The sequence below is a fragment of the Homo sapiens genome, chromosome 9 (genome assembly GCF_000001405.40).
Source record: "Homo sapiens chromosome 9, GRCh38.p14 Primary Assembly".
NCBI classification, from domain to species: domain Eukaryota; kingdom Metazoa; phylum Chordata; class Mammalia; order Primates; family Hominidae; genus Homo; species Homo sapiens.
In genome coordinates this window covers 37,504,257-37,526,080 of record NC_000009.12, presented here as the reverse complement: position 1 = coordinate 37,526,080, position 21,824 = coordinate 37,504,257, and the positions used below count along the sequence as shown (strand labels likewise).

Sequence of the window (21,824 nt, the reverse complement as noted above, 5' to 3'; positions counted from 1 at the left end):
ACACACACTTCTCCAGGTGGCCACGGATCCTTTCTGGAGGTGAGATTTGTAGTAAAAATATGCCAGGGCTCAGTTACTCATGCTGGTAGTCCCAGCTACTTGGGAGGCTGAGGTGGGAGGATCACTTGAGTGCAAGAGGTTGAGGCTAGCCTGAGCAACATAGCGAGAACCCATGTCTTAAACAAAAAAATTGTAAACATTTTCTGGTTCAAACATTTGAGGGTTGGATAAAATACATATAAGGCCAGGCGCGGTGGCTCATGCCTGTAATCCCAGCACTTTAGGAGGCTGAGGCGGATGGGTCACTTGAGGCCAGGAGTTCGAGACCAGCCTGGGCAACGTAGCAAAACCCCATCTCTACAAAAAGTACAAAAAATTAGCTGGATGTGGTGGCGCACACGTGTAATCCAGGCTGAGGCACGAACATCGCTTGAACCCAGGAGGTGGAGGTTGCAGTGAGCTGAGATTGTGCCACTGCACTCCAGCATGGGCAACAGAGCAAGACCTCAAAAAAAAAAATGTATATATATATGCATGGGTATATATGTAGATGACAGTCAAGTGAGGCTACAGTGAACTGGATATCATTGTGCGTGTATAGCATAGTTGGGGGTTTAGTTTTTGGTCAAGCTGTCCCAGTGACAACTAAACATTTCTATATGCCTGGCTTATAAAGGGACTTTAGGAAATGCTTTTATGCCCCTGTGGACTTGAGCCATAGGGAGGCTCAAGTGATCCTCCACCCCAGCCTCCCAAGAAGCTGGGACTACAGGTGCACACCACCACACCCGGCTAATTTTTTTGTATTTTTTGTAGAGACAGGGTTTCCATGAAAGAAGGCAGTCTCCTGGAAGCATGACATTGATGCCCTGGGCTCACCTCTTTGTTTTGTTTTCCTTCCACTTTAGCGGGAACCACATCTTCAAGGGCCGTGCTGCCGGCATAGCAGTGAATGAGAACGGCAAAGGCCTCATCACAGGTACGGATGGGAACTGCCTGGCACCTGGCAGCCAGGCCAAGGTCCCCTGGCGTCACCCCCCAGCTTCAGGACCTCACACTGCTCCTTTACCCCCACAGACTATGGCCTCTTTCTCTGACTGGTGGGCTGGAGCTCAGGGACGCCAGCTGCATGGTGGCTGTGCTTCTTACAGGAGGGCCTAACACAGAGTGGGTGTCTGCTCCTTCCAGGCCCAGAGCCGACAGGCCCTCACAAGGTGGCTCACAGAACAGTTTCAGAAGCACTGATGCCCAACCACCTGTCCAAATCCCTCCTCTTGGTCTTTGTGCGGACCTCTGCCTGCTCTGGAAACCTCCGCCCGGCTAACCCCTGCTTATCCTTTGGGTCTTAGCTTAACTGTCACTTCCTCAGGGAAGCCTTCCCTGACTTCCCCATTGTACACAGATACACTCACTATACCCAGGATGCCTCCTCTCTAGGGCCTTTGACTTAATTTCTTAGTGGTTTGTGGTGTCCGTCTCCTCTGTTATAAAGTGGTAAATTCCACAAGGTGAGGGTCAAGTCCATCTGGTACATCAATGTAGCCTCAGCACAGAGCAGAGCCAGGCCTGGGATATGAAAGGGATTCCGCAAATACTGGTCCAGGGAATCCCCCTGACTGAACTTATCAGACATGGATTGAGCACGTGTGGTATACAGGCCGTGTTCCAGGAGCTACAAGTGCAGCAGTGAACGAGGCTGTCAGCCACTGACATTTTAGGAGAGGAAGCGAATAAATAAATAAAAGCCTACGTATATGAGCAAAAAACATCCCATCTGAGGGTGACAAGTGCTCTATGGATAATTAAGGCAAAAGAGGGACTGGGTAGGCATTTGGGATTGTGTGGTCAGGGCAGCCCTCTGAGAAGGTGACAAGGAAACCAGACCCTGAGTGGGAGTGGCTGGAGGAGCTGGGAAAGAACCTTCCGTGTAGGGCCGCCTGTGAGAACAGACTTGGCATGGCCGAGTGGACATCGCTTGTGGGACTGGAGTGTGGTGCACAAGGGGCCTGCAGTGGGGACATGGAGACAGGAAGAGGCCAGTCACACAGAGACTCCTGAGCCATTGCAGGTGAGGCTAGCGCCTTCTCACAGGCTTGTGGGTAAATGGCCACATTCTGCCTCTGAGGACTCTAAAGCCAGTTTATTTATTTATTTTTTTTGAGACGGAATTTCACTCACTCTTGTTGCCCAGGCTGGAGTGCAATGGCGCGATCTCGGCTCACTGCAACCTCCGCCTCCCAGGTTCAAGTGATTCTTCTGCCTCAGCCTCCCGAGTAGCTGGGATTACAGGCATGTGCCACCACGCCCAATTTTGTATTTTTAGTAGAGACGGGGTTTCTCCATGTTGGTCAGGCTGGTCTCGAACTCCCGACCTCAGGTGATCCGCCCGTCTCAGCCTCCCAAAGTGCTGGGGTTACAGGCGTGAGCCACCGCACCCGGCCTATTCTTTGTTTTGTTTCCTTTTTGTTTGGTTGGTTGGTTTTTTGGACACCAGTGTCACTCACCAAAGCTAGTTTATTCTTTTTTTTGAGGCAGGGTCTCAGTCTGTCATCCAGGCCAGAGTGCAGTGGCTCGATTATAGCCCACTGCAGCCCTGACCTCCAGGGTTCAAGTGATCCTCCCACCCAGCCTCCCAAGAAGCTGGGACTACAGGCACGCACCACCACACCTGGCTAATTTTTTTTGTATTTTTTTTTAGAGACAGGATTTCCCCATTTTGCCCAGGATGGTCTGGAACTCCTGGGCTCAAGTGATCTACCCGCCTTGGCCTCCTAAAGTACTGGGATTACAGGCATGAGCCACCATGCCTGGCCAAAACTAGTTCATTTTTAATCATCAGTCCTCAAGGCCATTGGGTGTATAGTAGGTGCCGGGGAGATAGGAGTGCACAAGATAGACACAAGCCTTGCCCTTGGGGAAAGGAGTCAGCAGATAAGTCCCTGAAACATCAGACAGCAGACAAGATTTACAGTGCTAATTGCTGGCAGGGTAAGGCCAGGGCCTTCTGGTCTGGAGTAGCCTTGATCAAAACTGTCCAAGTCCTATTTGCCAGCACTGGAGCTGGCCCTTGGGTACTGACCTTCTTTTCTGCTTCTCTCCATAGAAAATGTCATCCGTGAGAATCAGTGGGGAGGTGTGGACATCCGCCGTGGAGGGATCCCCGTTCTCAGGAGTAACCTCATCTGCTTTGGCTATTCAGATGGTGTGGTTGTGGGAGACGAAGGCAAAGGCCTCATAGAAGGAAATACCATCTACGGTGAGGAGCTTGTTCCCAACCCAGCCGGGGAGGCAGGAAGCCCAGGTTCCATCTCCAGCTTGTGGGTCCTGAGAAGGTCACTGCCTTTCCCTGTGCCTCAAAGACCTCATCTGAACAGGCACTCTCAGGCCACAGTCACCCAGGCCCTCCCAGAACAAAGAGCCTCTTACAAATCACATTGTAGTCCAGATTGACCCCGTGGGGTTAGCAAAGCAGAAGGCTTTATCCCCTTTTAAAATAGCAAAAGACAGGAGTTGTGTCATGTCTTAAGGACAGGACCATTTCAGCCCTGGCTCATGTGCATCTAACTCCTCTTATCCTTTCTTTTGATCCCAGAGAACGGAAAATATAATGGGAAAACAAGATAATCACAGGAAGAAAACTCTTCTCACTCACGCAGTGACTTTGGGCAGAGCCTTCATCTGTCTGGACTCTATCTCTAATAATACAGTGATAATAATAAAGATGACTCAGGCCCACCTCTCTACTCAGCCCTTTCTATGCATGATCACATTTAATCCTCATGACTGCCTTCTGAAGGAGGCACGGTTATTAACCCCATTTAAAAGATGAGAAAACTGAGGGACAGAGAGAGGTCTGGTAACCTGCTCAGGGTCTCACAGCTGGGAAGTGGTAGGGCTGGGATTCCAACTGAGGCTGCCTCCTATGCAGGGAGGGATTGGTGCCCCCTTGGCACTGTCACTGTGGGCTCATGTGCTTCTGATGTGGACATGTGGCCTGACAGTCCTCAGAGCACTTTCACACTGTGTGGAACGAGCCGAGCTTGTGAGGTTCACCTGATCCTGATGACCTCTCTTGTGTGAAGGTGAAGTCTGCAGCTAGAGCCATCAGGTGGCTTGTCCGAGGTCATTAGCAAGGCAGGGACTCTCTCCCAGGCCAGTGGCTTTTGTTTCCCCTCTCAGGGAGACTCAGGTGCCGCTTCACCTGAGTTCAGTGTCGGTGACCAGCTCCTCTCACTGTCCCAGCTAACAAGGGCTGTGGTGTGTGGATGATGTCGTCCAGCCTCCCCCATGTCACCAGCAACCACGTCAGCTACAATGGCCTGTATGGAGTGGCAGTATTTAGCCAGAAGGATGGCTCCAGCGAGTTACCTCGAGGCCACAGGGCTCAAGAGAACTTCAGCGAGGATGGGGACGCCATCCTCTGGGAGACAGAGCTGGAGAAGGAGGACGACCCACTGCGCCGGCCCATCACCATAGCTCTTGTTGAGTCTAACAGTATTAATCACAATGGAGGTGAGTATACCCCCTCAGCCCCTGCTCAAGAACCTTCCATGGCTCCCCACTGTCTTTTTTTTTCTCCAATTTAAAACTTTTAATTTAATTTAAATTTAAAAGTAAACTTTAATGTCAAAGATGCAAACCTGGGTAGGGCAGAAAAATCACACACAAGGTTGCCACTTCACACTTGGAGGGTTGCACAGCGGCCAGGCAGAGGCGCTCCTCACTTCCCAGACAGTGTGGGGGCCAGGGAGAGGCGCTCCTCACTTCCCAGACAGCGTGGGGGCCAGGGAGAGGTGCTCCTCACTTCCCAGACGGTGGGGCGGCCGAGCAGAGGTGCTTCTTATTTTTGAGACGGTGCGGCCGCCAGGCAGGGCCTTCTGCAGACTGATCCCAACTTGCCCTCAGGCCTCATCAGCCACTTCTTCCAGCCTGATCCCCAATCCTCCTGTATTTATTCATTAAACTTGAATCCATTCTTTCCTGCCTCCTAACCTGCTGACCTCACTCATGCCTTTCTCCCATCCACACGTCCCAAACTAACTTGAACTTCAAAACCTGTTGTGAATATCCCCCTTCATTCCTTCCTCCTTTGAACTGGGCCCTCCCCATCCCCACTGGCACTTGTTATGAGGCCTCGCGACTGTATTTATTTCTGTGGCTGTTTCATCAACACTGATAGGCCATGAACTTGAGACAAAGAACTGAAGCCCACCCAGCTCAGTGCCCCTGTCCCTGCAGTACCAAATCCCACCTCTGGCACACATGCTTTTAATCAACTCTAGGATACATTTCTCAAAATTCAACATCTCCCACGAGATGCATATCATGGTTTAATTGGCAGTGAGTTTTCCTTCTTAGAGAGGCAGAAAATAAAAGTGTTTTAAATCCATGTTATCCTAAACCTGATGAAAAATGGAGGCCAGGTGCCAGGGATCAAGCCTGTAATCCCAGGACTTTGGGAGGCCAAGACTGGGGGATTGCTTGAGGCCAGGTGTTCAAGACCCGCCTGGGCAACATAACAAGACTTGGTTTCTACAAAAAAAAAAAAAAAAAAAAAAGAAGAAGAAGGAGTAGAGAAAGAAAAATTAGTTGGATCTGGTGGCATGTGCCTGTGGTCCCAGCTACTCAGGAGGCGGGGGGATCGCTTGAGCCCAGGAGTTCAAGGCTGCAGTGAGGTGTGATTGCACCACGGTATTCTAGGTGCTCAGAGCTCAGGAGTGACAGGAGCAAGACCCTGTCTTAAAAGGAAAAAAAAAAAAAAAAAAAAGATGGTAGAAGATGTTTGATATTTCTTGAATTAAAAAAAAATAATTACTGTGTAGTTCACCTAACTCCAGGGCTCCCAAAGCCTCCTGATTATCAAAATCACTGTGGGGTGGGGGTGGGAGGGTAGGATGGATGGGTGGGTCGGGAAATGGAGGAAGGCTTATTCAGAACAGATTCCTGGGCCAGGCGCAGTGGCTCACACCTGTAACCCTAACACTTTGAGAGGCCAAGGCAGGAGGATCGCTTGAGTTTAGGAGTTCAAGACCAGACTAGGCAACATAGAGAGACCTCAATCTCTACTGAGAAAAAAAAAATTTTTTTCAGATTAGCTGGGCATGGTGGTACATGCCTGTAGTTCCAACTACTAGGGAGGCTGAAGTAGGAGGATGCTTGAGCTCAGGACTCAGAGTTCGAGGTTGCAGTGAGCTATGATGGTGCCACTGCACTACTGCCTGGGCAATAGAGCAAGACCCTGTCTCTAAAACAAAATAAAATTAAAAGAGATTCCTGGGCCTGGTAAGCACTTGCTTCTGGTAGTGGTAGAGGACAGGGAGATGGATAACCAGCAGCCCCAACCCACTTATTCAGAAAATGAGTTCTGTCTCCTCCCAGGTCAGAGGTTCCTCCATGTGGCCATGCTGTCTGTCCGGTACGACAGGCAAAGCCACCTACGTTCACAAATACTTATTTTTGTTGTTCTCAACCAAGCCAGGAGAAGCAACAGGCTGGTGCCACCAAGAGATTTGAGCTTGCAGGCTCATGGCTCCAGACACTGCTGCAGGGCCCCAGTCATTGTCCTGCACACAACCTCCCCCAGCACTGCCCCAACCCTTGTTGCTGTTGGTGGGCAGAGGGACCTACCGCAGAGCCCTCCTCTCCTCGCCCCCGGGTCTGGCTGCCCTGCTTTCTTTTCCTGACAAGCCATGGAGCTCTAATCCTGCTGACTTGGGGTTTTTCTCCTCATGTACCTAGTGTCTCTAAGTACACACAACCGCAAGCGTCAGTTTTCCTTTCCCAAATTTCAAACACATTTTTGACACATATTACTCGCTTAGTAAGTTTTTGTACTCCAAAATTACAGAACTTACATTAAGAAGAAAATTTCCGGCCAGGCATGGTGGCTCACGCCTGTAATCCCAGCACTTTGGGAGGCCGAGGCAGGTGGATCACGAGGTCAGGAGATCGAGACCATCCTGGCTAACACGGTGAAACCATGTCTCTACTAAAAATACAAAAAATTAGCCGGGCGTGGTGGCGGGTGCCTGTAGTCCCAGCCACTCAGGAGGCTGAGGCAGAAGAATGGTGTGAACCCGGGAGGCGGAGCTTGTAGTGAGCCGAGATGGCGCCACCGCACTCCAACCTGGGCGACAGAGCGAGACTCCGTCTCAAAAAAAAAAAAAAGAAAATTTCCCCAAACAGTAGGGAGGCAGATTCCAGGTTAGTGTAGGAAGGAGAGCAAAGCAAAACCCTCTAATGAGTAGATCTGCCTGTCCAGAGGGGGAGTGAGCAGCCTTGAGGCGGCAGTGAGCACCCCGTCAGGGAGGTGTAAGCGGCAGTAGGATGGCGGTGGTGCAGGAGGCATTCAAGCACACGGTGGGAGCTCAGGCCAGAGGAGCCTTCTCACATGGTGTTTCCCTGGCTACACTGAATAAGGACTTCATGCAGAAGAACCAGAGTTTTGTTGACGCACCTGGATTTCCTCCTGCTGTTTCATCAGCTTGGAAGACGCAAACTCAAGGGTTGTTTCTGAGTGTTGGTACCTCTTCTTCTCCACTCCGTTCTCCCGGAGTGCACAATTCAGGGAAGGCTTTTCCTGACTGGTGGTGTCAGGGCTGACCCTGGGACCCCCTGTGCTTTCCAACCCTTCCACCCATAGCCTCAGGACTCTATGTCCAGAGCAGCGAGGCACTGCATGTCATCACCAATGTGATCCACGCGAATGGGGACAGAGGCATTACTGTGGCCCAGAGCAGCCAACCCACCCGAGTGGCCAACAACAGCATCTCCTGCAACCGGCAAAGTGGGGTCAAGGTTGAGGCCCAGTGCAAAGTGGAGCTCCGGGGCAATGGTATCTATGACAACAGAGGCCACGGCATTATCACCAAGGGCGACAGCACCATCGTCATTGAAAACGATATCATTGGCAACCGGGGCAGCGGGCTGCAGCTGCTGCCCAGGTCCGACACTAAAGTGAGTATGTCTGCATGTGTGTGACGTGTGGTGCCCACACAGGGCACAACCCTGGGATAGTCCTCGTGGCCTCTGCTGAGAACAGAACCGTAATCACTCAGCACTACAAGGGACAGTATCCCTCCTGCCAGGACTCAGCCTGGGAAATGTGGGTGGGACTTCCCACAGGGGGGGACGGAGAAGCTGAGTCCTGAAGGATGAACAAGGGCTCACCAGCAGGAAGCCAGGGATGGGGTGTCCCCTCCTTGTCATGGTGTTGGGAGCCTCCCGAGTTATCTTCATGGTCTCCGGGTCAAGGTCAGGACTATTTCAGCTCTCTTTCCTTAACAGAATAATCATGCACAGTGCCTGCTGTACAGTAGATGCTTCATGAAGAGAGAGATCCTGCCTTGGGGCCTTTGCATACACTCTTCCCTATATACCCTGCATACCTCCTGCCCGCCTTGCACTGCAGTCCTGCAGCTTAGCTGTATCTTTGTTCAGGAAGAGTCCCTGAGCTCCCACCTCCCACCCCAGGCTGTTTGAGTTATCTCTTGTCTAGTGCTTTTGTCCACACATACCTCACAGAGCACTCCCCACAGGGCTTGGTCCTCACAGAGCACTCCCCACAGGGCTTGGTATCTCTTCCTTCACCTATTTGTCTCCCCACCGGACTGAGCTCTGAGCACCTTTCTATGCAGAGCTCCGTTTCACTGTGGAGCCAAACAGATCTTGTTCCTGCCCTTATGGAATTACGATCCCAAGGGCTCTATTTTTATTTTTAGTTCAACAGTTTTTGGGGTACAGGTGGTTTTTGGTTATATGGATAAGTTCTTTAGTGGTGAATTCTGAGATTTTGGTGCCCCTGTCACTCAAGCAGTGTACACTGTACCCAATATATAGTCTTTTATCCCTCACCCTGCTCCCACCCTTCCCCCTGAGTCACCAAAGTCCATTATATCATTCTTATGCCTTTTCTTCGTCATTAGCATAGCTCCCACTTATAAGTAGTGAGCAAGTAAGGACATAGGATATTTGGTTTTCCGTTTCTGAGTTACTTCTCTTAGAATAATGGCCTCCAAGTCCATCCAAATTGCTGCAAAGGCTGTTATTTCATTCTGTTTTATGGCTGAGTAGTATTCTGTGGTATATATATACCACCTTTTTTTTGTTTTTTTTTTTTTTGAGATGGAGTTTCACTCTTTTGCCCAGGCTGGAGTGCAATGACATGATCTCAGCTCACTGCAACCTCCGCCTCCCAGATTCAAGCCATTCTCCTGCCTCAGCCTCCCAAGTAGCTGGGATTACAGGCATGTGCCGCCATGCCCAGCTAATTTTGTATTTTTAGTAGAGATACCATGTTGGTCAGGCTGGTCTCAAACTCCTGACCTCAGGTGATCGATCCACCTGCCTCAGCCTCCCAAAGTGCTGGGATTACAGGTGTGAGCCACTGCACCCAGCCTATACCACATTTCTTTATCCACTCTTTGGCTGATGGGCAGTTAGGTTGGTTGCATATTTTTGCAATTGTAAATTGTCCTGCTATCAATATGCGTGTGCACATGACTTTTTTTCCTTTAGGTAGACATCCAGTAGTGGGATTGCTGGGTCGCCTAAAGCCTCTTTACAGTTCTGCAGCTTCGTGGGTTAGTGACTTTAGGCAAAGAGTAAAAATGCTGGGGCTTTGCCTCTGAGCACTGTGGGAGCAGAGGAAGGGAGAGAGGGACACACTTTCGTCTCAGTTGGGTTGCCAGTGGCCCTGACTTCTGACACTGCCTCCCCTCTCTGCCAGGCCTTTGCATATTGTTTCTCCTTCCTGCAACAGCTCTCCCTGTTGTGCATCTGATAAATGCCTACAACTCACCTATCACCTCTTCCAGGAAGCCTTCCCTGGCTCCCCCAGGCTGTTCTTGGTGCCCTTCTTTGAGCTCATAGGCTCTTCACTGACCTGCCTGGCATGTTCCTGCCTCTTGGTTTTAGAACTGATAATTCACTTGCCCAGCTCTCCCACTCAGTCTGTGAATCCCTGAGGTGTGACAATCTCTGGCTGCCTCTCCCAGGTAATAAAGAACCGGATCCACTCGTTCCGGGCCTACGGCATCGCCGTGCGGGGCCGTGCCAAGGCCCTGGTGCAGGAAAACATCATCTTCCAGGGCAAAACCAGTAAGACCATCTTTCAGCAGATCTCAAACAACCGAGAATGCATCATGCAAAACAACAAGTTCCTGGTCTTCAAGAAAAAGTGAGTGCTTGGGGTTGCCTGAACGAGTCCTCTAGAGCCACAGTAAGCTCCCTGAAGAAGCCAGGCCCACACCCAGGGATTGTGGCTGCCCGGGCTCCCTGCAACCCTGCCAGCTGTCGACTCCAGTCAGAAAAAGGCCTGTGCCTGGCTCTATGTCAGGCCCGGGCTGAGGACTCCCCAGGAGGGAACAAGCTTTTTAAGAGTCAGGGGTATGTGGTTTCAGATCTCAGCTCTGCAGGTTACTGGCTGTGTGACCTTGGGCAACTTACTTCACATCTTCGAGCCTTAGTAAAATCCATTTAATAAGATCACACTATCTGGCTGAATCTCTGAGGGGCTGTAAAAATGTTAGTTGATGCTGCTGCTGTCCTTTAGTCACTCTGCCTCAATGTATCACAATTGCCGCCACCCATCTTCCTCAAACCTGTCTGTCCTTTCACGTTCTCCATTTCAGCGACATCACCATCCACTCAGTGTTCTGACAACAAAACTTCTGCTGCCTTTTTCTCCCTAATCCGAAGATGTCCAGTCAGTCAGTCACCAGGTCTTGTTGATTCTGCTTCTAAAATGTTCCTTTTTCCAGCACCTCCTCTTCCCCAACTGCCCCCATCCTAATTCAGGTCTCAGCACCGCTCACCCTAACCTGTACCGCCTGTGTTACTGCAATGCACAGCTGTTCCAGTTGCTTCTGCTTGGGCTGTGTTCTGATTGGTCCGTGCTTTCGCTTTCACATTCTGGTTGTAAAATCATACTGATATTTGCTGTAGTTGGTATCACTCCTGCACCGCCAATGTCACCTGTCCCCCTGCAGCAGCCTCCTGCCAGTCTCCCTGCCCGTGGCCACCCCCTGCTCCACTCTGGAGGTTGTCCCATGCATCCTGCCAGGTTAATCTTTCTAAGTGAGAGCTCTGGTCAGTCACATCACATCCATGGTTTAAAACCTCTCATGGATCTTCATGTTCTGTTGTAATGATCTCCATACTTTTTGTATTACACACACTCTCGGGAAAAAATATTCTTTGAAGAAACCCCCCGATGTAGGTATACCTAATTATTTATTTATTTATTTAGAGACCAAGTCTCACTCTGTTGCCCAGGCTGCAGTGCAGTGGTGCGATCTTGGCTCACTGCAACCTCTTCCTCCCAGATTCAAGCGATCCTCCTGCCTCAGCCTCCTGAGCAGCTGGGATTACAGGCGCCCACCACCACTCCCGGCTGATTTTTGTGTTTTTAGTAGAGACAGTTTCGCCATGTTGACCAGGCTGGTCTCGAACTCCTGACCTCAGGTGATCCACCCGCCTTGGCCTCCCAAAGTATTGAGATTACAGGTGTGAGCCACCGCGCCTCACCGGTATACCTATTTATAACTTATATATGTGTATTCTAGCAGTATATTATTTACATTATAAACTATCCCCAAAATAGAAAATTTTAAAGTATACAGTTAAAAAAAACCAAAATTCTAGTATTTTCTTCCAATATCCCAGCAGATTATATTGTGGACTCCCTGGGATCCACCTCCTCCTTCCCTTTGGAGACCCCAGGGTACAGGATACAGCCCGGACTTTGCCAATGCCAGCTCTGGTATTGTCCGCTGTGTACCCTGAGGTCCTAATTGTCTTTTCCAGCCTCTCATTTCATCACTCCTTTTCAGTAGTGCTCCCCTGCTGCCAAACTCAAATACATACAGTCCTCCCAACATAGCTTAGGCCTTTTTATTCACATGCTAGTAGCCAACCTCTGATTCCGTCCACACCTTTCCAGTCCTTTCATTGTAACATCATTATCATAAAAATACATATAAGACAATGTGTTGCCTTAAGCAAATGGAGACTTAGTGTGTAAAGTTGGTTCCTTGTAACTCAAGCATCAGAAAACTCTGACCACAGCTTCACTATCATTTTATTTTCCCTGGCCCTCCATGCTCTCTACAAGAGTTTGGGTGACTGGAAACCCACCAACTTCTATCCCCCATAGATTTGCATTTTCCCAAATGTCATATAAAAGAAATCGTGGCCGGGTGCGGTGGCTCACGCCTGTAATCCCAGCACTTTGGGAGGCCGAGGTGGGTGGATCACCTGAGGTCGGGATTTCGAGACCAGCCTGGCCAACATGGTGAAACCCCATCTCTACTAAAAATACAAAAATTAGCTGGGCATCATGGCACGCAACTGTAGTCCCAGCTACTCGGGAGGCTGAGCCAGGAGGATCACTCGAACCTGGGAGGAAGAGGTTGCAGTGAACCCAGATCACACTACTGCACTCCAGCCTGGGTAACAGAGCAAGACTCCGTCTCGGAAAAAATATATATATATATTAAAAAATAAAAGTAAAAACAAAAAAAACCCAGAAATCCTGCAGTATGTAGTCTTTTGAGTCTGGCTTCTTTCACTTAGCCTAACATGCTGGAGATTCATTCATGGTGTTGCATGTAAGGCGTTCATTCCTTTCAATTGCTGAGTAGTCTTCCCCTGTATGGGTGTACTGCACAGTTTATTCACTCATCAGCTGAAGCGTATTTAGGTAGTTTCTAGTTTTTGGTGATTATGAATAAAGCTTCTATAAACATTTGTGGTCATAGAGCTGAAAAGAAATGAAAGAGGAAAAGCTGGCACCGTGGCACACACCTATAATCCCAGCTACTTGGGAAGCTGAGGCAGGAGGATCACTTGAGCCCAGGAGTTTAAGACCGGCTTGGGCAACATAATGAGACCCTGTCTCACAACAACCACCCTATGATCTTATCCAGATCCTTATTTAAAGTGGAGAAGTCGGCTGGATGCAGTGGCTCAAGCCTATAATCCCAGCACTTTGGGAGGCTGAGGTGGGAGGATCACTTGAGCCCAGGAGGTTGAGGCTGCAGTGAGCCATGATCGTGCCACTGCACCCCAGCCTGGGCAACAGAGTGTCTCAAAGCGGGAAAATTGAGGCCTACAGAGGGACCTTGTCCAAGGCTACATGCAGAGTTGAAGGCAGAGCTGGACGTGGAATGCAGGGCTTTTGCTCCTTAGTTTCTCAACAGCCCACCTCTTTGGACTAACACTAAACTGGAAGATAAAACCTACACCCAGATTTAAACACCTGGATCCACCGATCTGGAACCCAAGTTAAGACTGTGCAGGGCATTCAGCCAGCACTGCACACCCCTCAGAAGTTCACTGACTTTCGTTTTGCACCTCCAGGTCTGATACGTGGCGCCTGGTGAACCCACCAGCACGGCCCCACCTTGAAAATTCTCTCAGACGTCCCTCGGCAGCCCACAATGGGCAGAAGGTGACAGCCATGGCAACGAGGATCACAGCCCGGGTGGAAGGTGGTTACCACAGCAACCGCAGTGTCTTCTGCACCATCCTGTGAGGACACAGACCTGCTTCAGGGCCAAGCCTGGATGGGTGCTCAGAGGAGCTAAGGTGGAAATACTGCCTGAAAAGACTCCGCCCCTCCCCCTCCCCCTCGAACAAATGGGTCCCGGGCCTCCAAAACACGGTACCTCCAGAACACTTCAGCTCCACAGCCCATAGCAAGAAGAAAGTGGGCAATGTTTTTCAGGGAGAAGGGATAGAAGCTGGTGGGTTTCCAGTCACTCGAAGTCTATAAAGATTGTGAAGAGCGGGGGAAGCTCAAATGCTGAAGCTTTTGGTCAGGATTTTCTCTGAGTTCTAAGGAACTGTGTTTTACACACACCAAACCCAGACTCTTCTCAGGAAAGAGCAGATTTACTTCTGATGGCGGGAAGTGATTCTAGTGAGGTGGAGAGAGACAACTGCTCCAGAATTTTCCCCTTTGCTAGAGCTGTCTCCCTCTCAATCCCTCCAGGGACCCCACCACACCCTCCCAGCTGTCTCTGGAGGCTGGAGGAGTTGAGTTTGGTTGACTTGAGGACTTGGACATGGACCTGGGAGGAAGGAAGGACCTGGGAGCAACAGGAGACCCCATGGAAAGGCTGCCCCAGGGATGACAAGAGGGACATGCTGAAACAGGTGGGGCTGCAGCGTGCAGGCAGATGCTAGGCTGGGTGGGCAGGGATGCACAAGGCTCTACTCCATCCCCAGAGAGCTCCCAAATGCAGAAGGATTCAAACCCCATGTGAGCGTGCCCACACCAGCCGCCCCTCCTGAGCATCAGCCTGTTCAGATGAGGGTACCTGGGCCTCTCGTTCGCATCTGTGTTCTCATGGATGAGCGCTGGTCTTTACTGACCCTCCCAAGCCTCCCCACTCTGTGCCTTGGCTCATGCTCTTTCCTCCTCCCGGCATGCCCTTCTCCCCCATCTCCGTGTCCTCGTTCCTCAAGGTTTAGCCGAGACACTGCCACCTCCACATAGCTCTCCCTGCCCTCTTTCCCCCTCTGGGCCTCAGTGGCCTTTCTCTGCTCCCTCTCAGGGTACTGAGCACTTTCTGCCTTGTCCTGGAGCTATCTGGGTCCATTGCCTGACCCCCCACTCACCTGTGTGCTCCCCGTAGGTAGGGCCACTTCTGACTGTGTGTCCCCAGATCCAGCCTGGGGTTGGGGTAGGATTAGTGGCCTGAGTGAGGAGAGGAAGGCCAGCTCCCAGAGGACTTTACTGAACCGTACTGTGAATATGTCCAAGTCCCAAAGCCAGGTGAGGTCAGACCCCACTGCCTGAGGAAGAGGGCTGGATGCAGGGCCAGCTCAACCTGAACAATCCCCTCCCACTCGGCCTTTCCTGTGGGGCCTTCACCAGCCTGCTGGGGTCACTGTCGTGCACTTGGCTGCGTGGCTGGTTCTATTGGCCCTAGGTGCTGCTCTGTTGGGTGGGATGGGAGGGGGTAGAGGGAGCCAGGAGCACTGGGTTCTCCCTGAGAACACTGGGCACAAGAGTACTGGCCTCTTCTATCCCTGGCACTGTCCTTTGCACTTGTTTGGTGGCCCCAATGTGAGTCGCTGTAAAAAATGCTGCCGTTACTATTTTCTAAGAAATGACTTTTCTGTGAACCAACAGTAACAAAAACCTCAGTAACCAAAATAAAGTTCTATATTTTAAAAAAGGCACTTTTGGAAGCCTTTCCTTAGTCTGGGCATATACTGGGGCTCCCAGCTGGCCAGGCCCAGCACTGTTTCCTCTGAAGGAGACAGGAGAATCCTGGGGCCATCTTGTTGGGTCAGCTTGTTCCTGTGACAGTTCCAGATATAGGGCTGAAGGGCTCAATCGGGCTATAATTCCACTCCTGCCTGCTCTGTGAAGACAACAGAAACAGGCCGTCCCCATGGATCACTGGACTGTCAGCTTAGGGACCTCAGACCCCGGAGCACACTTCCCCAACTTCACTTACTCAGCATCTTAGAATTTTTGCTATATCCATATGTCACCTGAGAAGTTAGTACTTTTTTCTTTAAATCTACTTAATTTTTAGAAGTTTTAAATATGCAGAAAAATTGAGCAGACAGATGATTACTAGAGTTCCCATATCACCCTTGCCACCCCCGAGTTTCTGTGTTATTAACATCTTATGCTATCAGTGTACATTTGTAAAAATTCATAAACTAGTACTGGCACATTATTAACTAAAGTCCATAGTTTATTCAGATTTTTTTCTTTTTGAAACGGGATCTCACTCTGTTGCCCAGGCTAGAGTGCAGTGGTGTGATCATGGTTCACCGCAGCCTTGACCTCCTCAGGCTCACTCAGGTGATCCTCCCACCTCAGCCTCCTGAGCAGCTGGGACTACAGGCATGCACCACCACGCCTGGCTAATTTATGTATTTTTTTGTAGAGACGGGGTTTTGCCATGTTGCCTAGCCTGGTCTCAAACTCCTGGGCTCAAGTGATCCGCCTGCTTCAATCCCCCAAAGTGCTGGGATTACAAACATGAGCCACTGTGCCTGGCCTCAGATTTCTTTAGTTTGTTACCTAATGTCCTTTTTCCATTCCAGGATCCCATCCTACAACATGTCTTTTTTTCACACACTGAAAAGACTTTTTATATTACTATAAACATACATTAAACTATTAAAATGAAAATATTCATTGGTTTTGGTAGTTACTGTTTGCTGCCCCTCAGGGAGAGTACATGCCCTCTCACGTTGCCATGGGACCTGATTTGCCCAGTGAATGTAGGCAGAAGTGGTTAATGGTCACTTCTGGGTAGAAGCTTTAAGGGCCAGCAGAACTTGCCCCGATCGTGTGTCCCTCTGCCAGTGGACCACCACGTGTCAGACATGGCAGCCCGAGTCCCGGGGTGAAGCTAACCCGGAGCAGGGTCCCAGGTGCCTGCTGGCTGACAGACATGTGCCAGACATTCAACAAAAGCAAATGAACTTTTGTTGAAACCAGACATTTGAGGGCCATTTGTCACTTCAGCTTAGCCTAACCAGCAGAACACAAGTACTTTACTACATCCCTGAGCCACCTAAAATCATCGTAAGTTCTGTCAATAATGTATTAAACATTGACTTGGTGAGCTCATTGTCCCCATTTTGGAGGCTGGGAGTGCTGATGCTCCTGAGATCCGGCAGGGGAAAGTTCCCTATCAGATGTGGAGAGGTGTGAGGAGGGCTATTACCTGGAGCAAAGGTGGCAGGGAAGGGAACAGCTGGGACACAAATTCCCTCCAGGTCATTTGGAGGCAGAAGTGGGAGGAACAGAACACCCACCTTAGCTCTTGTGTTTGGGGAAGAGTCAGGGAGTGCGGGTGCTTTGCACAACAGGCCAGACTTGCCCAAGAAAACTGAGCCCATCTAACTTTTTACTTAATTGAGCCAAAGTCTCTCTCCCTCGCTAAATTCTACCCCTCCTTCAGAAGCTCCTTAGTCACTACTTCTATGGAACACCTTCCCCTGTCTCTACAAATAACAGTTAACTGCGCCTTCTCCATGCTCCTGTGCCCACTCAGCCACATGCCACCTGCAGATGGCACTGAATCCTCTCTTTTCAGTCTGTTGGTTGAGGGCAGGGACTTTGCCCATCTTGTTCACTGTTGATTCTCTATGCCCAGCACAGAGCAAAGCTCACTAAGTGTTGGATGGATGGCGGACAGACAGGCAGACAAATGAGGAAACAAACCCAACCTCATTCCCAGAATCTCTACCTCCTGGGGCCCCCAAAGGACATCTCTTCACTCTGTTCTGTGACAACTCTTCAGAGATTTGCAGGCAGCACCCTCATCCCCCTGGGGTCTGCTGCCCTCCTGGGTTCCTCTCGTATGTGCCAGTTTGCAGGGTGTCTCTTCACCACCCTGGTCATTTCTCTAGACTCACTCCAGTGGCCTGGGTAGGTCTGGGAGAGCCCAAAGAAGCAGAGTTGAGGCGTCCTGTCCTGTATCTCAGGAGGAATGGCCCAGCTCCATGGGCAGCACTCACGGATCTAAAGAGAATTCTCTAAAGTACTGTGTTTCCTTGGAATCATTTGCTTTCAGTCTGCAGTAGCTTCCCTCCCACCCACAGGAATACTGCCATGGGTGAAGGCTTCACTCTGGTGCAGAGTTCACAAGAGGTTCCAGCTGACCTCTACCCAAGCAGCTTATACTGTGTCCTCCCTGGACTTCCCTGTTGGCCAGTCAGGCCCAAACACGGATGTCTGCTGATGGGAATGTACAAGCACAGCAAACACCAGTATGATTTCATCATCTAGGCCTCCAGGTCTTGGTGAGGCCACTGCCCTGGTGCCCAGAGGAAGTCCTAAGTACAGCGGATGTGGACATGGTATGGCCAGACCAGGCAAGAGCCAGAGATGAGCCTTGGAACAGCACATGAGCCTATACTGTCAACAGCACCCCTGGGCCCACCTTCTTCAATCTCCCTTCTGACAACACAGAGCAAGCTTTCTCTCCAAATGCTTCCTCATGGTGGGCTCATGTGGGGCATGCTGGGCTTATTCCTACCCGGATCAGCCTCCCGACACAGGCATGCTCGCCCCATTGGTACCTTCTCACTACCCTCCAGACCTCTGCAGGGTGCCCTTCATGGAGCTCCTGAGCCCGTCAGCTGTGTAGTGTGCTTTTTAAATGAAGTCAAACCTAGCATGGCCTCCTGGTGCAGCCTGAGCTCCCCATCACAGAGCTGTCACCTCTACCCCGAGCCTAGTTCTTGCCTGAGTGCAGCTGAAGATCCCATCTGTCTGGTGGTCAGGATTGCATTTCACTTCCTGCTTCAGGCCCATCATTCATGTCATCCGCTATTCTCCGCTAAAAGGCCAGAGCTCCTTGGATAAAAGACGGATTCAAAGCTGGGCGTGGTGGTGCATGCCTATAGTCCTAGCTACTCAGGAGGCTGAGGCAGGAGGATGGCTTGAGCCCAGGAGTGGAGTGAGCTGACTGCACCACCGCTCTCCAGCCTGAGCGACAGAGCAAGACCCTGTCTCTAAAAAGCAAAACCACAACAAAAGACTGACTCCAGGGCTGCAGCAGGGAAAGTACAAGGTAGGCCTGGAATATCTCATGCTAGAAAGTAAGGAAGCACCCTTAAAATGATGGGATCCAGGAGGTTTCCTGAAGGAACTCAAGATTGGCCAAATACATACAATCTGGACATCACAAGGAATCACAGTAACAGACTCCACATAGAACACAAGACTCTTGAGTCTATGCCAATAACTAAATGAACACAAAACTTCTAAGGTCGAGAAAACAAACTGCCTTATAAGAGCATGCCAATAATTAGAAGAAACGATAATGTTGCAAAATCACCATTTTGCAACCATCTTGGTAATTGATTCAGCAAGAATCATCAATTGAGGCTGAAACTAGTAGGTGAAAGTTTGATGAGGAACAGGATACTTAGTTTCAAAGTATCCCTCCAGAAATTACTTATTAAAAGGAAAAACAGTATCTTCACAATGCGGAAAACACAACCTTAACTGATAAAAGTTAACAGCAGCAAGGAAAGCGCAGTCCCACATCATGGGCCCCTAATGTGATGCATGTGGGTCACAGCATCATTTCTGTGCTGTTCCTGCCAAAAATGTAAATCCTGAATCCGATCACGGGAAAGCCCCAAATGTAAACTGACAGACACCCTAAAGAATAACACCTCACTCTCCAAAATGTCAAAGCCGAGAAAGTCCAATAAAAATCTGAACTGTTTCAGATTAAGCAAGACCAAAGAGGCATGGTGATCGGTAAGATTTGAACATGAACTGTGGGCTAAGTCATAGTATTGCATTATTGTCTTATTTCCTGCATCTGATGGACTGTGGTTATGGAAGAGAAAGTCCTGATTCTTAAGATGTACACACTGAAAAAGTACTTATGGGTAGAAGGGTAGGATGTTTTCCTCAAATGGTTCAAAAACAAATCTCAAAATGTCTAAAGCAAATAGTAAATGGGACAAAGTATTGACAGTTGGAGAATCTGGGTAAAGGATATACAAGAGTTCTTGCAAGTTTTCTCTGTGTGAAACTATATCAAAATACTTTTTTAAAAGAGGAGACACTTGAAAGAATGTTATGTAATTTACTATTTCCAGGTTAGGGTCTCCTGCAAATGTGGTAACTATGCCTTCTTTGACCTCATCCCAATTAACAGTGTCCAGCAGGTCAGGGCAGCAAGCAAAGACTTCCCTCTAAGGAACAGACTTCATTCTGTTAATCAAACCCTGCCAAGTTAAGACTATCCCACAAACTACAAATCTTCAGGGCACCAGCATCTGGCTCATAGTCCCCCTTTCTTCAATGAGGCCATCAGGAGACATTCTGGCAAATAGCTTGGTGAGATCAAGGTATCCTCTGGGAATCTATTAGTAAACAAATGGGTTTCTAAAGCCAGAAGAAACCCTAGTACAATCCCATTATTCTGCAGGTATTTACCACCTAATAACCCTGCCAAGGAAAGTACGGTTCATGCCGACTCATTCTGCAGACACTGACCACTTTCTATGTCAGGTATTGTGCTAGGTGGAGCCCTCTTCTGAGCCTTTCCTAAGGACTCACAAATCTCCTAATGTACAGAAATTTGCTTTTTAGCCTCTTGGAATGTGTCCCCGACATTTAGCAAAATACACCTGTTGACACACGACAAGTATTTGCCCGCCTAGTCTTTCCCTATCCATACCTACAGTCATTACCACCTGCTTCTCCACTAGGTCAGAGGTTGTTCAGAGGGTCCCAGCCACATGCTGTGTCCAGTCATTCCCAGAAATTAAGCCTCCAAGTGTCAAACCCAGCTGAATTTTAAAAGTAATCACAAAAGGCTGGGCGTGGTGGCTCACGCCTATAATTCCAGCACTTTGGGAGACCGAGGCGGGCAGATCACCTGAGGTCAGGAGATTGAGACCAGCCTAACATGGAGAAACGCTGTCTCTACTAAAAATACAAAATTAGCCGGGCATGGTGGTGCATGCCTGTAATCGGGAGGCTGAGGCAGGAGAAGCACTTGAACCCGGGAGGCAGAGGTTGCAGTGAGCTAAGATCACGCCATTGCACTCCAGCCTGGGCAACAAGAGCGAAACTCCATCTCAAAAAAAAAAAGTAATCACGGAAACACATTCTACCCTGAGGATGTATTAGAAGTCCTTTTCTGAGAGATTATTTTTTCCAAGGAAGAGTCACATACTTGATTTTCACAACGGCTTAAAGGAAAACAAGAGACAAGTAGATTCCCTGCCCACACCTCTGCTGAAGGAAGACAAAGTATGCTCCAAGTGCCTCCTACCCAGGGCCAGAGGCAGATGGGGACAAAGCAGAGGAGCACAGCTCTGAGGGCATCCCAGACCGCAAAGAAAATAAGGTGCACCTGCCCCAAAGCTCAGCCAAGACTCCTTTCCACTGTGACTCCCAAATGGAGGGCCCCAGGTGCTGTGTAAACTTCTCCTCTCAGAGGAGCTGAGTTCTGTCTCCCTCCCTTCACTGACCCGGCCTCCCAGGTGCTGAGTGTCACAGATCTCAACTGCTCCCACTTGAAGCAGGACCCTGAGATGTGAGACTGGGCCCAGGCCACGTACCTAAGCCTTCCTGTGTCACACTCCTGTCCTTATAGCACCGCTCTGGACACAGCTTCTCCATCTCCTCAGTGGCACATACAATTGGTTGGCAGTTATAATCCACTCATGTCCTTCTAGAATGCCTCCTGTAACTAGAGGCTGGTGAGCTGAAACCTATTTCAAAGACTCCCATTCTGCTAGGATTCTACATGCTAATCAGGCTCCTATATATGCGCACCAGAAGGAAGCAAGGTGGAGGCCAGCTGCTTGACCTTCTGGCTGTCTGTGGTGACAAAGTGGTGGAAATACAGGACCTTTGAAAGCACGGGTAGGCTGGGCACGGTGGCTCACACCTGTAATCCCAGCACCTTGGGAGGCCAAGGCGGGTGGATCATGAGGTCAGGAGTCCAAGACCAGCCTGGCCAACACAGTGAAACCCTGTCTCTACTAAAAATGCAAAAAAATTAGCTGGGCATGGTGGCGCATGCCTGTAATCCCAGCTACTCGGGAGGCTGAGGCAGGAGAATTGCTTGAACCAGGCCATGGGAGGCGGAGGTAGCAGTGAGCGAGATCGTGCCACTGCACTCCAGCCTGGGCTACAGAGCAAGACTCTGTCTCAAAAAAATAAAAAGAAAAAGAAGAAAGCATGGGTAGCTGAAATCAGCAGCCCAGTGTTGAATCTTCAGCTGCATGAATTCCAGGAGCAGTTATGGAGCAGAAGTGGCTTCTGAGTCCCCGATGGCAACCCCGGCAGTGTGTTCTTGAATTCAGCA

At 49.8% G+C, this 21,824-nt stretch overlaps 1 protein-coding gene across 7 annotated transcripts in view, besides 2 other annotated features; it reads left to right on the top strand.

Annotated features, from left to right (window-relative positions):
* The window catches only part of FBXO10 (F-box protein 10), a 65,489-nt gene extending 50,300 nt beyond the window's left edge, over positions 1–15,189 (top strand). For 5 of the 7 annotated variants that reach the window (NM_012166.3, XM_047423220.1, XM_047423219.1 and 2 more), the window contains 6 exons: positions 909–979; positions 3,104–3,256; positions 4,243–4,512; positions 7,643–7,956; positions 9,996–10,177; positions 13,360–15,189. In NM_012166.3, the coding sequence (NP_036298.2) occupies positions 909–979; positions 3,104–3,256; positions 4,243–4,512; positions 7,643–7,956; positions 9,996–10,177; positions 13,360–13,534 (1,165 nt within the window). In that variant the 3' untranslated portion in view covers positions 13,535–15,189. Of the gene's footprint in view, positions 1–908; positions 980–3,103; positions 3,257–3,592; positions 3,736–4,242; positions 4,513–7,642; positions 7,957–9,995; positions 10,178–13,359 lie in introns of those variants that run through there. The other 2 variants (XM_005251439.6, XM_047423222.1) reach the window with 2 other exon arrangements.
* Positions 10,182–10,683: an enhancer, noted in NCBI's record as "H3K4me1 hESC enhancer chr9:37515395-37515896 (GRCh37/hg19 assembly coordinates)". NCBI's record gives its function as "activates a minimal SCP1, AML or CMV promoter by ChIP-STARR-seq in primed H9 embryonic stem cells {active_cell/tissue: H9 hESC(primed)}" and the evidence as "EXISTENCE:reporter gene assay evidence [ECO:0000049][PMID:30033119]".
* Positions 13,959–14,515: an enhancer, noted in NCBI's record as "H3K27ac-H3K4me1 hESC enhancer chr9:37511563-37512119 (GRCh37/hg19 assembly coordinates)". NCBI's record gives its function as "activates a minimal SCP1, AML or CMV promoter by ChIP-STARR-seq in primed H9 embryonic stem cells {active_cell/tissue: H9 hESC(primed)}" and the evidence as "EXISTENCE:reporter gene assay evidence [ECO:0000049][PMID:30033119]".
* Positions 15,190–21,824: the final 6,635 nt, after the last annotated feature.